This window comes from Homo sapiens, chromosome 10 (genome assembly GCF_000001405.40).
Source record: "Homo sapiens chromosome 10, GRCh38.p14 Primary Assembly".
Classification (NCBI taxonomy): Eukaryota; Metazoa; Chordata; class Mammalia; order Primates; family Hominidae; genus Homo; species Homo sapiens.
The window spans coordinates 79,713,488-79,728,327 of record NC_000010.11 but is presented as its reverse complement, the minus strand read 5'-3'; the positions used below and the strand labels follow the sequence as shown (position 1 = coordinate 79,728,327).

At 40.5% G+C, this 14,840-nt stretch overlaps 1 long non-coding RNA gene across 1 annotated transcript in view; it reads left to right on the top strand.

Annotated features, from left to right (window-relative positions):
* The window catches only part of NUTM2B-AS1 (NUTM2B antisense RNA 1), a 135,095-nt gene that overhangs the window by 98,267 nt on the left and 21,988 nt on the right, over positions 1 to 14,840 (top strand). The window lies entirely within an intron of this gene.

The following is a 14,840-nucleotide window of genomic DNA, read 5'->3' as shown; positions in this document are numbered from 1 at the left end:
GCTCCTTACATTAGCTAAGGTGGGTGTACATTTATCTCCTGCCTGGTACCTTTCCTTTCCGACAAGTTTCTAGTCTGCTGTATTACACTATCTAAAACAGCCACTCTGAGCTGACTAGCACCTTATCACTTTAGACTTTCCTCACCTCCTCTGGCCCGGCACATCTAATATTTTGTTTAATCCTAAGTACTCCAGTTATTGCTCATGTCAAGAACAGACACATTATCACTGGAATTCAGGCTGAGGAAGAAGCTCCACTGAAGCCTTCAGTCTAAACATTAAGAATCAAGGAAGGCCTTTATTTATTTATTTTTCAAATACCAGCCATCCTTCCTCTGCACCCCAAATCATCAAATGTTTTTATCAACTCTCTGTAAAAATTTTGAATTTCTTAAAAAACTGAAACAGAGATGATAAATACAAGTAGCCAGTTTTAAGTACCACTGCTTCTTACTTCAAAGAATTTCCTCTAGATTTGCTATTGTTTGCAAAATATATAGCGGTGGCTCACGCCTGTAATCCCAACACTTTGGGAGGCCAAGGTGGGTGGATCACGAGGTCAGGAGATCGAAGCCATCCTGGCTAACACAGTGAAACCCCGTCTCTACTAAAAATACAAAAAATTAGCTGGGCGTGGTGGCACGTGCCTGTAGTCCCAGCTACTCGGGCGGCTGAGGCAGGAGAATCACTTGAACCTGGGAGGCAAAGGTTGCAGTGAGCCAAGATCGCGCCACTTCACTGCAGCCTGGGCGACAGAGTGAGACTCCATCTCAAAAAATAAATAAATAAAATAAATATGTATAAAACATATATTAAATATTCCAGTTACAAAAATAACAATTACCAAAAACTCCAACAAATAATATCTGTGCCTAATATACAATGTGGCAATGTTCATTATGAAGTTTTAATACAGAGAACTTTTTTTCAGAATTTTTAAGAGAATAAATTTTTCTTTTAAGAATACCTAAGCCTTATGAACATCTGATGTTCAAATACCCAGCAATGGCTGGTCATCTTTTGCTTGCCTAAACTCCATCTGAACAACGGCAAAGCTCTGCTGAACCAACCAACATAAGGAATTGCACATCCCCACATTTCTTTCCATCTTTTTCTTTTCTGTCAGACTTTCACTCTTTTGCTGATAGTAAGTACCCTTAATCTATTAAAAGAAATACAAAAATCACTTCTGACTTGCCTATTCTCTTTCATTATATGCATATTTACATCACCACTGTATGACAAATTATTTCACCTCATAGACCCTGTTTTCTGATCTGTAAAAGTGGTTAATGGTACTTACCTAAAAGGTTGTAAAATGTTTTTAAATAAAGTATGTAAAGCTTTCAGTGCAATGCCTTGTATTTGGCAAGTGCATTGTAAATGGGAGTATTATCTACATCAACATCTTCATCAAGATTACAATACTGCTCTGACTCATTCCTGATTAAGGTCATGCATTACTTAACAAGGATATAGTCTGAAAAATTCATCATGAGGTGATTCCATCGTTGTGCAAACATCATACAGTGCACTTACACAAACATAGATGGTATAGTCTACAACACATCTAGGCTATATATGGCATTGTCTATTGTTCCTAGGCTGCAAACCTGGCAGCCTATTATTGTACTGAATACTGTAAGCAGTTGTAACATAATGGTCAATATTTGTGTACCTAAATGTAGAAAAGGTACAGTAAAAGTAAACTATAGAAGATATAAAGTGGTACACTTAGGCCAGGCACAGTGGCTCATGCCTGTAATCCCAGCAATTTGGGAGGCAGAGGCAGGAGGATCTCTTGAGCCCAGGAGTTCAAGACCAGCCTGGGCAACATGATGAAACCCTGTCTGTACCAAAAAAAAAAAAATACAAAAATTAGCTGGGTGTGGTGGTGTGTGCCTGTGGTCCCAGCTACTTAGGAGGCTGAGGTGCAAGGATTGCTTGAGCCCAGGAGGTGGAGACTACAGTGAGGTTTTTTCTTTTTCATTTTCTTTCTTTTTTTTTTTTTTTTTTAAGACAGAGTCTCACTCTGTTGTCCAGGCTGGAGTGCAGTGGCATGATTTTGGCTCACTGCAACCTCCGCCTCCCAAGTTCAAGCAGTTCTCATGCCTCAGCCTCTCGAGCAGCTTAGGACACAGGAGTGTGCCACCATGCCTGGCTAATTTTTGCATTTTTAATAGAGACAGAGTTTCACCATGTGGGCCAGACTGGTCTCAAACTCCTAGCCTCAAGTGATCTGCCTGCCTCAGCCTCCCTAATTGCTGGGATTACAGGTATGAGCCACTGCACACAGCCTATAAGCTTTCTTCTATTTAAAAATTTTTATTTATTTATTTTTTACTTTCAAACTTTTTTGTTTAAAAATGAAGACATAGCCAGGTGCTATGGTGCAAGCCTATAATCCCAGCTACTCAGAAGGCTGAGGTGGGAGGATTGTCCAAGGCCAGGAGTTCGAGGCTGCAGTGCAATATGATTGCACCTGTGAACAGCCACTGCACTCCAGCGTGGGCCAACATAGTGAGGCCTAGTCTCAAAAAAAAACAAAAAACAAAAAGACATAAACACACATTACACATGAGACTAGGCCTACACAGGGCCAGGGTCTTCAATATCACTGTCTTTCACCTCCTTATCTTCTCCCATTGGAAGGTCTTCAGGAGCAGTAACATGCATGGAGCTGCCATCTCCTATGGTAACTATGCCTTATCTGGAATACCTCCTGAAGGACTGTTTTGCAGTTAACTTTTTTTTAAGTATAAAAAAGACACTCTAAAATAATAAGACAAGTATAATATAGCAAGTACATAAACCAATAACGCAGTCGTCTGTTATCATTATCAAGTACCATGTACTGTACATATTGTATGTACTATACTTTTATAGGACTGGCAGCACAGTAGGTTCGTTTACACCAGCATCATCACAAATATGTAAGTAATGTGTTGTACCATGATCAGCTCTGACATATCTGGGCAATAAAAATTTTTCAGCTCCACTGCAATCTTAAGGAACTACCACTGTATATGAAGTTTGTCATTGACCAAAAGGTCATTATATGGTGTGTGACTGTAATATAAAAATAGTTATTGTGATAAAATTATTTTAAGGGAGGGAGACAATGGATTTGGAAGTAAAATTAGTCATTTTGTTAGTTTTTTATTGCTGCTGTAACAGATTATGACAAACTTAAACATTAAAATAACACAGATTGGCCAGGAACTGTGACTCTCACACTTCTAAGCCCAGCACTTTGGGAGGCTGAGGCAGGAGGATTGCTTGAGCCCAGGAGTTGGAGACCAGGGTGGGCAATGTAGTGAGACCCCATCTCTACAAAAAATAAAAAAATTAGCCAGGTGTGGTGGCACATGTCTGTAGCTCCACCTACTCAGGAGGTTGAGGCAGGAGGATCATTTGAGCCTGGGAGGTTGAGGCTGTAGTGAGCCCAGACCATGCCACTGCACTCTAGCCTGAGCAACAGAGCAAGACCTGTACCTAACAAAATAAAAATAAAAAAAACAACACAGATGTATTATTGTATAGATCTGGAGATCAGAAGTTTCAAATGGGTTGGCAAGGCTCCTTTCCTTCTGGAGGCTCTAGGAGGAGAATCCATTTCCCTGTCTGTCTCAGCTTCTAGAGGCTGCCCACATTCCTTGGATCTAGCCCCCACATCACTCTGACCTCTACTTCATCACATCACCTTCTCTCCCTTTGTCTCACATTTCCTTTTTTTATAAAGATCCTTGTGATTACATTGGGGACATCAGATAACCCAGGATAATCTCCCAATTTCAAGATCCTTAATCACATTTGCAAATTCCCTTTTGCCATATAACGTAACAGTGGTAGGTTCTGAGGATTTGCATATGGAAATAATGGAGGCCATTATTTAGTTTAACACAGTCATTAAAAAAAAAGAAATTGGGGCATTTAACCTTCTAGAAACTGAACTGAAATTTCTCCATAATCAATAGAAAACTTTCTATTTTCTCAACACTAGTGAAACCTGCTTTTCTTTGGTGACACCAATTGATAAAACTATTTCTGATTCAATATGTTGCTTTCCCCTTTGGTTATCAGTAGTTTAATTGAATCATTGACTACAGTTTTATGGCAAATGTGAATTCTGGGTTGAACGAACTAAATTGAGATGCAAATAACAATTTGTAACATTGATCCTGTGGGTGAATTATTTCATAGTCCCAACAAATGTACTTATGTTTACCAACTTGCAATACAAGGTCTTTTTAAAAGTAATTAATTTATTTTTATTTTTATTTTTTTAAAGACAGGGTCTCATTCTGTCTTGCAGGCTGTTGTACAGTGGCCTGATTATAGCTCACTGTAGCCTCGAAATTCTGGGCTGAAATGATCCTCCTGCCTCAGCCTCCAAAGTAGCTGAGACTAGAGGTATGTGTCACCACACCCATCTAAATTTTATATATTTTTTCTAGAGACAAGGGTATGTAGCCCAGGTATTTGACCCTCCAAATCTGATGTTGAAATTGGATACCCAGTGTTGGAGGTGGGGCCTAATGGAAGGTATTTGGGTCATGGGGCAGATCCCTCATGAATAGATTAATGTTCTCCCTGGGTTGCAGGTGAGTGAGTTTTTGGTCTCTTAGTTCCTGTGAGAGCTAGGTTTTATAGGATTTTTTTTTTTTTTTTAGGCTGGTCTTGAACTCTTGGGCTGAAGAGATTCTCCCACCTCAGCCTCCCAAGGTGTTGAGATTACAAGCATGAGCCACCTCACCTGGCCAAGAGCTAGTTGTTAAAAGAGCCTAGCAGTACCCACCTCTTTCTTGTTTCCTCTCTCACCATGTGATCTCCACACACATTGGCTTGCCTTCCCTTTCTGACATGAGCGGAAGCAGCCTGAGGCCCTCACCAGATGTGGATGCCAGTGCCATGCTTCTTGTACAATCTGCAGAATCATAAGCTAAATACACCTCTTTTCTTTATAAATTACCCAGCCTTGGGTATTCCTTTATAGCAACACAAACGGAGAAAGACATATGCAATTTGCCATTTTAATCATTTTTAACTGTACAATTTGGTGGTATTAATTATATTTACAATGTTGTGCAACCGTTACCACCATCTATTACCAAAGCCCTTTCATCACCCCAAATAGAAACTGTGCTTATTCAGCAAAAACTCCCATTTTCCTCTCCTTCCAGCCCCTGGTAACCTCTGGTAACCTCTAATCTACTTCCTGTCTCTATGAATTTGCCTATTGTAAATATTTCACATAATGGTATCATACACTATCCTTTTGTGTCTAGCTTATTTCACTTAGCATAATGTTTTCAAGGTTCATCCATCTTATAGCATGTATCAGTATTCCATTCTTCTTTTCTATGGCTGAATAATAATTGTATGTATATACTGCATCTTGTTTATCCATTTATCTTTTTGTTTGTTTGTTTTTTAAAGACAGGGTTTTACCATGTTGGCCAAGCTAGTCTCGAACTCCTGAACTCAGGTGATCCGCCCACCTTGGCCTCACAAAGTACTGGGATTACAGGCGTGAGCCATCGTGCCTGGCCTATCCGTTTATCTTTTGATAGACATTTTGGTTGTTTCTACCTTTTGTCTATTGTGAATAATGCTGCTATGAACATTAGTGTACAAGTCACTGATTAAGTTGTTGTTTTCAATTCTTTGGGGTATTGTATTAGGCCATTCTTGCATTGATATAAAGAAATACCTGAGACTGGGTAAGTGCCAAAGAAAAAAGGGTTTAGTTGGCTCACATTTCTGCAGTCTGTACAGGAAGCATAGCAGCATCTGCTTCCAGGGAGGCTTCAGGAAGCTTCCAATCATGATGGAAGGCAAAGTGGGTGCAGGCATGTCACATGGCAAAAGCCAGAGCAAGAGAGGAAGTGGGGAGGTGCTGCACACTTTTAAACAATCAAATCTTGTGAGAACTCACAATCTTGATGACAGCTAGAGATGGTGAAGCCACTCATGAGAAACCACTCCCATGATCCAATCACCTCCCACCAGGCCCCAACTCTAACACCGGAGATTAATTACATTTCAACATGAGATTTGCATAGGAACAAACAGTCAAACTATATCCGGTATATACTTAAGAGTAGAATTACTGGGTGATAATTCTGTTTTACGTTTTGAGGAATTGCCAAACTATCTTCCTCAGCAGTTAAACCATTTACATTCCCACCAGAGGTATACTAGGTTTCCAATTTCTCCACATGTTCAACAACACTAGTTATTTTTTCTTCTAATTATAGCCATTCTAGTAGGTACAAAGTGGTATCTCATTGTGGTTTTAGCATCTTTTGAGTTGCTTATTGACCATTTACATGTCTTTTTTTTAGAGAAGTGTCTAAGTCTTTTGTCCATTAAAAATTTGAGTTATTTATCTTTTATTTGTTGAGTTGTAGGATTCTTTATGCATTCAATTCTTTTGGGTATTGTATTAGGCCATTCTTGCATTGCCATAAAGAAATGCCTGAGTATATTAGTTTTTTGTCAGATGTATGATTTGCAAACATTTTCTCCAATTTTTTGTGTTATCTTTTCACTCTCTTTATAGTGTCACTTGATACACAATTTTGATGAAGTCCAATTTATCAGTTGTTTCATCACTTGTACTTTTGATGTTATATTTAAGAAACCATTGTCAAACCCAAGGTCATGAAGATTTTTCAGTATGTTTTCCTCTAAGAGTTTTATAGCATTTAATATTTAAGTGTTTTATAGCATTAAATTTTGGTCTTTGATCCATTTTGAGTTAATGTTTGTACATTGTGTAAAAGTATAGGTCCAACTTCATTCTTTTGCTTGTGGATATCTAGTTTCCCCAACACCATTTGTTGAAGAGATTGTCCTTTTCCCCATTGAGTGATCCTGGAACCCTTGCTGAAAATTAATTACCCATAGATGTGAGTGTTAGTTCTGGCCTCTCGATTCTATTCCATTGGTCTATATTGTCTATCTCTGTGCCAAGTCCATGCTATTTCAATTATTATAGCTATGTAGTACATTTTAATATCAGAAAATGTGAGTCCTACAACTTTGTTCCTCTTCAGATTATTTTGGCTATTTTGGGTTCCTTGAAATTTTATATGAATTTTAGAATAGGTTTTTCCGTTTCTGCCAAAAGCGCTGTTGGGATCTTATTAGCGTGATTACATTGACTCTACATATCATTTTGAGTAGCGTTGTCGTTTTAACAATATTAAGTCTTCCAACTTATGAACACAGGATCTCTTTCCATTTATTTAAGTCTGCTTTAATTTCTTTCCAGAATGCTTTGTAGTTTTCAGTGTACAAGTCTTCTGCCTTCCTGGTTAAATTGATTTCTAAATATTTTATTCTTTTGGGTACTACTGTAAATAAAAAATTCTTAATTTCCTTTTCAGATTTTTTACTGCTAGTGTGTAGAAACACGACTGATTTTTGTGTGTTGATTTTGTATTCTGAAGCCTTGCTAAATTTGTTTATTAGCTTTAAGAGGCTATTTTTGGTATTCTTTAGGGCTTTCTACACTTATATCACTTGCAAATAGAGATAGTTTTACTTCTTCCTTTCTAATTTGGATTTATTTTATTTCTTTTTCTTGCCTGATGGGTCTGGCTAGAACTGCCAATACTGTGTTGAATAGAAGTGGCAAACACAGGCATCCATGGCTTCTGATTTTAGTGGAAAAGCTTGAAATTTTTCCCCATTGAGAATGATGTTAGTCGTGAGTTCTTAATACATGGTCTTTATCATGTTGAGACAGTTCCTTTCTATTCCTGGTTTGTTGGACAGTTCTATCATAAAGGAGGAATGGATTTTCTCAAATGTTCTTCTATATCAATTGAGATGATCATGAGTTTTTCACTCCTTCCTTCTATTACTTGGTGTATTACATCGACTGATTTTCATACGTTAAACCACTCTTAAATTTCTGGGATAAATCTCAGTTGGTCATAGTGTAAAATTCTTTTAAGGGCTGCTGAATTTAATTTCCTAGTATTTTGTTGGGGATTTTTGTATCTATAATGCATTCATAGGGGACATTTGGCTATAGTTTTCTTGTATTGTCTGTCTAGCTTTGGTATCAGGGTAATGTTGGCTTCATAGAATGACTCAGAAAGGGTTCTGTTTCTCAACTTTTTGGAGGAGTTCGAGAAGGATTAGTGTTAATTCGTTTCTAAACGTTTGGTAGAATTCACCAGCGAAGTCATCAGTTCCTGGGCTTTTCTTTGTTAGGAGAGTTTTGGTTGCTGATTCAATCAAAATTGAATATCATTACTTTTTATAGATCTATTCAGATTTATTCTTTGTTCTTGAGTCAACTTTGTTGGTTTGTATGTTTCTAGGAATTTGTCTGTTTCATCTAGGTTATCCAATTTTTTGACATATAGCTCTTATACTAATTCTCTTACAATCCTTTTTATTCCTATAAATCAGTAGTAGTGTCTTTCATTTCTGATTTTAGTAGTTGAGTATTCTTTTTCCTTAATCTAGTTAAAGCTTTGTCAACTTTGTTGATCTCTTCAAAGAACTAATTTTTTGTTTCATTGATTCTATTGTTTTTCTATTCTCTATTTCATTTATTTTTGCTCTAATCCTTATTATTTCCTTCCTCTTTATGGCTTCAAACTCAATTGAACATAAAGTATTAAGAAATTTGACTTTTTTCTCAAATGTCTAAAATGTAACAAGAAATATGTCTAGAGTCATCAAAAAGCAGCCTGTTTGTCAGATTTACTGTTTAATCCATGTAAACAGCTTTCATATAATTCATGATAGAATATTACTATGTGCTTTGGAAGACACTGAAGGAAAGACAAAAGGTCATTGGGCAGAACCACCCTAGATTGACTGTTAAGGCCATCTTCTAGTTTGCAGGACTTGTGGTAGACAGACAGAATAATATCCTGGACCTCTTGGGTGTATACAGGACAAACTGAAATAAACTCTCATTTTTAGATCATAATGTCATCATGAAACATATCAATTCGGTCTATTTCTGAAGAAAACAAGCACAATGATAAAGTTTGAATGTTTGTCTCCTCCAAATCTCATGCTGACATTTGATCCCCAATGTTGGAGGTGGGGCGCACTGGGAGGTGTTTTCGTTACGGGGGCAGATCCCTCATGAATGGCTTGGTGCTGTCTTCATGGGATTAAGTTCTCACTCCTACTTCCTGTGAGATCTTATTGTTAAAAAGAATCTGATACCTTCCTCCCCTCTCTTGCTCTCTTCCTCCCTGATCATGTGACACACGGGTTCCCCTTTGCCTTCCACCACGATGGAGGCTTCCTGAGGCCCTCAACAGAAGCAGATGCTGGCGCCATGCTTCTCGTACAGCCTGCAGAATTGTGTGAGCCAAATAAACCTCTTTTCCTTATATATTACCCAGCCTCAGGTATTTGTTTATAGCAATAAAAACAGACTGAGACACATGATGAAGACCCTTTGATATCCTATAAATATTGATTTCTCTCCCTGAGAGAAGAGCATGAATCTAAGTGATGCCATTACTCTAATGTGAATTCCACAACTCTTCTCAAAGATGTGGCCCATATGTTCCTAATAATGGCTTTCTAAGAATCTGTTCTGAAGGGGTACCTTCTCTCTGATTTTCATTTGCATTTCCTGCTTAGCTTACACACTTCACCTTGCCTATCCACCTGTCCTGACCCCAATAACCTCCATCATCAGACATCTCATCTTACCTACCTACTTTCTACTTTTCCCAGTCCTTCCCGTGCTTCATAAACCATGATCATGAGCTAGAGACACAAGGTCATAGCTAAGGAGTTGGGATCAGAAAATCACCTTCTGTGATTTTCCATTATTGTCAATACATAACTTCAACAAAATCAAGAAAATCATGAAAGGACATCCTAAGGGGTCAGGTGAGGTTGCAGTGGGGTTAGTCGGTCAATAGTTTCTTTATGCCAATTAGGATTTCTGCAGAAAACAATGAAATACTGGTTTAAACAGTAAAAATATTTTAATTCCTTACAGAAGCCCATGGAACATACACTCCAGGTTTAATTCATCAGCTCAATAGCATCATCAATGACTTAGGTTCTTTCCACTTTCTGCTTGTCATCTGTGTTGGCTTTATTTTCAAGCTAGCTCCTCCCTGGTTGCAAGATAATTGCAGCAGGTTTAGTTATCATATTCGGACATGCTAACGCCCAGGGTAGTGATCCCTTCCTTGCATTTCTTTCTCATTTTAAGAACAAAGTGTTTAAAAAATTATACTTAAAATTATTGGCATCTCTGTCAATTGAAAGATGTCAATCTCTTTCATTTTTCCTAATCACTAATAACATCTACTAAAAACAAAATGTCTGTGTAAATAATTTATTTGAATAAAATTAAAGTTGTTGAGTGAGCTCGGCTTTTGAGGAGTGGGAAAGGAGGGGTGCATAGATTAGTGGAAGATGAGAAGCTAGTGGGGCTCAAGTCCAGCAGGAGCAGGAGTTTGGAGCCAGGACTTCCTAGCCTCTCAGGGTTTTTTTTTAACTTCCTTACCTGAAATGATTTGTGCTATATAACTTGTCCTGGCTAAACTTTCTTAATCTCAACTGTTTCATTTAATCAATAACAACTACTGCGCCACCTTCATAATATCAATTTTCAGCATTTCATTTACTGAATATCATTTCCTTTCCTTCCAGACTATTCTACTGTGTCAAATTCAATATTCCTTTGACTCAATAGGATCTCCAATCCAGTGACCCCATTATTTGTTTGTTTATTAGAACAAGAAAAACAAACTTTCCCAGAAACTCCCCAGTAGACTGCTCCTCATGTCTCATTGGCTAGAACTGAGTTGCGTGCCCATTCCTAAAACAAAACTGGCAAGAAAGATAGTTACCAAGATTGGTTCAGACCAAATCAGGATTTTTTCCTGAGGAGAGGATAAAGTGAGCTTCCTGGGAGGCAAATATTTACACATTCCAAAGATTCCAAAGAAAAAAAGAGAATAAATACTGGGTCGTTAACTAATAGTAAGTGCTACGGTATTACAGGTAAAATTTATCCTTTTAGCCCTAGCAACAAGTGACACCTTCTGAAGCCATTATTCATTTGTCAGGAATAGGGCAAGTATCAGGAAAAGAAACACCGAAATAAACTCTGTTTCCATTTATTGCATTCTAGCACTGGTTCTACCAAATATTTGTTGGATGACTTTAGGTAAAGCATCTAGCCTCTCTGTCTTGATTGCCACACCCACAATATGAGATAAATATTATTCTGCATACTTCCTGGGAGAGCTGGGAAGATAAAATCAGATCATTATACCACATAAAGCAAAGCAATAACACTTCCATATTTTAGCTTCCCACACTGCCTATCTGTCCTATTTTCATTTATTCATTTATACTTTTTAACAAACAGTTGCTAGTAGTTTGCTTAATGTAAGATATGGGATGAATATTTTCATGATGGCCCCTGCATCTAAGTTATCATTTAGCAGTACCTGCCTTATCTCTTGTACAGAATCAGATTAGACAGCATAGGAAGAATGAAAAGGTGAGGTGGGATAATAAGGAATGTTGTTTGTGGAAACATAATGGTTGCTTCAATTTGAGTGTAAACTGTCCTTTTTACTGAAGCAATTGCAACCAAGTGTGTTAGTTTACAGGTGCCTACATTGCTTTTTTGGCTTAGGTATTGTTTGGGTTTTAATACTGACTGGTATATAATACAGACAAATCAACTCAATCAAAGAAACCAACTCAATCAAAGAAAGATGGGTCTACATACAACAAAACTGAACAAAATCTGCAAGAAGAGTGATTCATACATGGGCTATTGAGGCAACATGAAATGGACATTAATCGACTAAGTAAAAAACAGATTTCTTGAAGAATTAATAAAGAACTTTTGTTTTGGAAGTTCGCTATTGTTTAAAATTAGCCAGATGTGGTGGCCTGCACCTACAGTCCCAGCTACTCAGGAGGCTGAGGTGGAAGGATCACTTGAGCCCAAGAGGCGGAGGTTGCAGTGAGCTGAGACTGTGTCGCTGCACTACAGACAGTCTCCTGCATGACAGAGCCAGACCCTGTCTCAAAACGTGGGGGGGAGGAAAGTTCTCTATTGTTTGAAATAATAACGAAACATTAAAGGCTCTAAAGTCAGCTAACCAATAGTCCTAAAAATAGAATGGCTCAAAAAGATTGTCCAATTTTGGAAAACTAACATTTCAAAAAGTTGTTTCATTTTTTATGAATCCTAAGATTTCCATATCCTAGAAAACTAACATCTCAGAAAAAAAAAAAAAAGATGGTAAAACACAATTGCCATCATCTATGCCTGTTCCGGAAAAATACAGAGAAGAAGAGAGTGTTTGGTTTTTTTAACCAGGATTTGGAAAGCCATTATTTATCTCTGTGATAGAATAACAATATGTTTTGGATGGAGGGTAATTCTAGGGGAAATTATATTTCTGAACAACAATGTTGGTTTGTGCAGGAAAATCACCAAAGAACATGACTAGAAAGTGTATAGCTACAGTTTCCCTCTTTTAAATGGGAATAGCAAAACATATAAAGAATATTGATAGGCCGGGTGCGGTGGCTCACGCCTGTAATCCCAGCACTTTGGGAGGCCGAGGCGGGCAGATCAAGAGGTCAGGAGATCGAGACCATCATGGCTAACACGGTGAAACCCCGTCTCTACTAAAAAATACAAAAAATTAGCCGGGCGTGGTGGTGGGCGCCTGTAGTCCCAGCTACTCGGGAGGCTGAGGCAGGAGAATGGCGTGAATCCGGGAGGTGGAGCTTGCAGTGAGCCGAGATCGCGCCACTGCACTCCAGCCTGGGTGACAGAGCGAGAGACTCTGCCTCAAAAAAAAAAAAAAAAAAAAAAAAGAGTATTGATAATTTAAACCTACTACAATTTTGCATCTAGTTTCTCAAGTAGTTCTGTGGATTTAGAACCAACATTTGCTGGGGGGAAAGAATTACCAGCATCAAAGTCCTAGGATGTGTCAGGGCACCAGAAGAGAAGTTTTGTCACTGTAAAATACCTCTCTTGGCAGAGCATGATGGAGACTGTAAACAGCAGGTTACTTCAATGGTTATGTGTGGTTCAGTGAAGATCTCTACATTAACTGAAGCACAACTCACTGCATCCCAGGCTCCCCTGGTTCATGTGTGATACACTGCACTTGGGGTGGAGGTGTGCTGACAGTTGTAAAGGGCCGAGCCTTTCTTTCCCGTGGCTCTGATGCACGGTTTCCAGATACCAGTCATGAAGGAAGTTCTTGAGATTATGGACTTTGTCCTAGTCACATAGGGCTGCTAGGACAAAGTGCCATAGACTTGGGGGTGGTGGCACATATTAAAAAAAGAAATGTATTTGTCACAGTCTGGAGGCTGGAAGTCCGAGGTTAGCATACCAGTGGGCAAGGTTCTGGTGAGGGCTCTCTCTGGCTTGCAGATGGCCGCCTTCTCACTGTGTCCTCGTGTCAGGGAGAGAGAGAGCTCTGGGGTCTCTGCTTCTTACCAGGGCCCTAATCCCATCATTAGGACCCCACCCTCATGGTCTCTTCTAACCCTGAATAACTCCCAAAGGCCCCATTTCCAAATACCATCACGTTGGGGGTTAGGGCTTCAGCACAGGAACTGGGCGGGGGACGTATGTTCAGTCTACCAGAGCCCCCCAGTCAGCCCCACTGTGCCCATTTAGGGGCAGATTGTAGGGCTCAGGTGGGACACAGAGGTGGAGGAAGCACAAGTTCTGCTTCCTAGGAATGGCTCAGCCAAGACAAGGACAGGGACAGTGGGATAGACAACAGCCAGTGGGGTAACCAGCAGGAGCCCCAAGGTGTCACTTTCACCCTTAGGTGAGGAAGTTGGCTGGGCACCCACACACGCCAGAGTATGGACCATGTTCCCTTCAAACACGGCTCACTTAACATTCCTAAACCCTGCAAAGGGGCAGTGCTACCTTATCTCTTGAGGATGGCCCTGAATGTAGAGGAGTCACGGGAGCTGCCCACATCACCCACCAGTGACTCTTCGCTCCCCACATTTTCCCCGAGGGCCTGATGTGCACTGAGCTGGGGAAGCCCTGCCAAGATAAACTCTCCTTCCCAAAGGCCACAGAAGACAGCAGGCCTCCGACACTGCCCACATCGAGCAGAAGGGACGGGGCAGAGGGGCATCTGTCAGGCTGACTGCTGTGTTCTGTGGGCAGATGGGGCCAGAGAGGACCCAAACATGGCTCCCTTTGTCACTTGGCCGAGGGGCCAGGCCACCGTGTACCAGACAGCTTTGCCCCACCAGCCTCTGCTGCTGGGCCAGCCCCCAGCGCCGTGACCACAGCTCTGCACGCAGGCAGTGCTGGGACCAGTGCCCTGGCAGTCACAGGGGTCCTGAGCCAATAAGCGCCCTGGGGGAGGAATCAGAACTCAGACCGTGGAGAAGAAGGTGTTGGCCAGGAGGGAACCAGGGTGGGTGCCGGGTCCTGTCCATGCTGGGATCTGAGATTCTAAGAGGTGGGTTAGGGGTAAGGGGGGCAGAAGTTGGCCCATGGGGTGAGGGCAGTTCAGCAGAGATTGGGAGGACAGGACAACCTGGGAAAGAGCAGAGCATCCTCCCCAGCCTCGGTCCCTCTCCTGATGCAGTCCTCATCTCACTCGTAGACTCTGGAAGTCTCCCTTTGGCGAACACCTAGCCCCCAACTCCCAGGTCACTTCCCAGACAGCCAATGCCACATCCCAGGCAGCCCCTGCTCTGCCCTTGGGGTCTGTGCCTGGCAGAAGGGCGGCTGACCCTCGGCCCCTCTTGGCCTGGGCCCCAGCTCCTCCGGGCCCTGGAACCAGCAGAAACACCCACCCTGCGCCTGA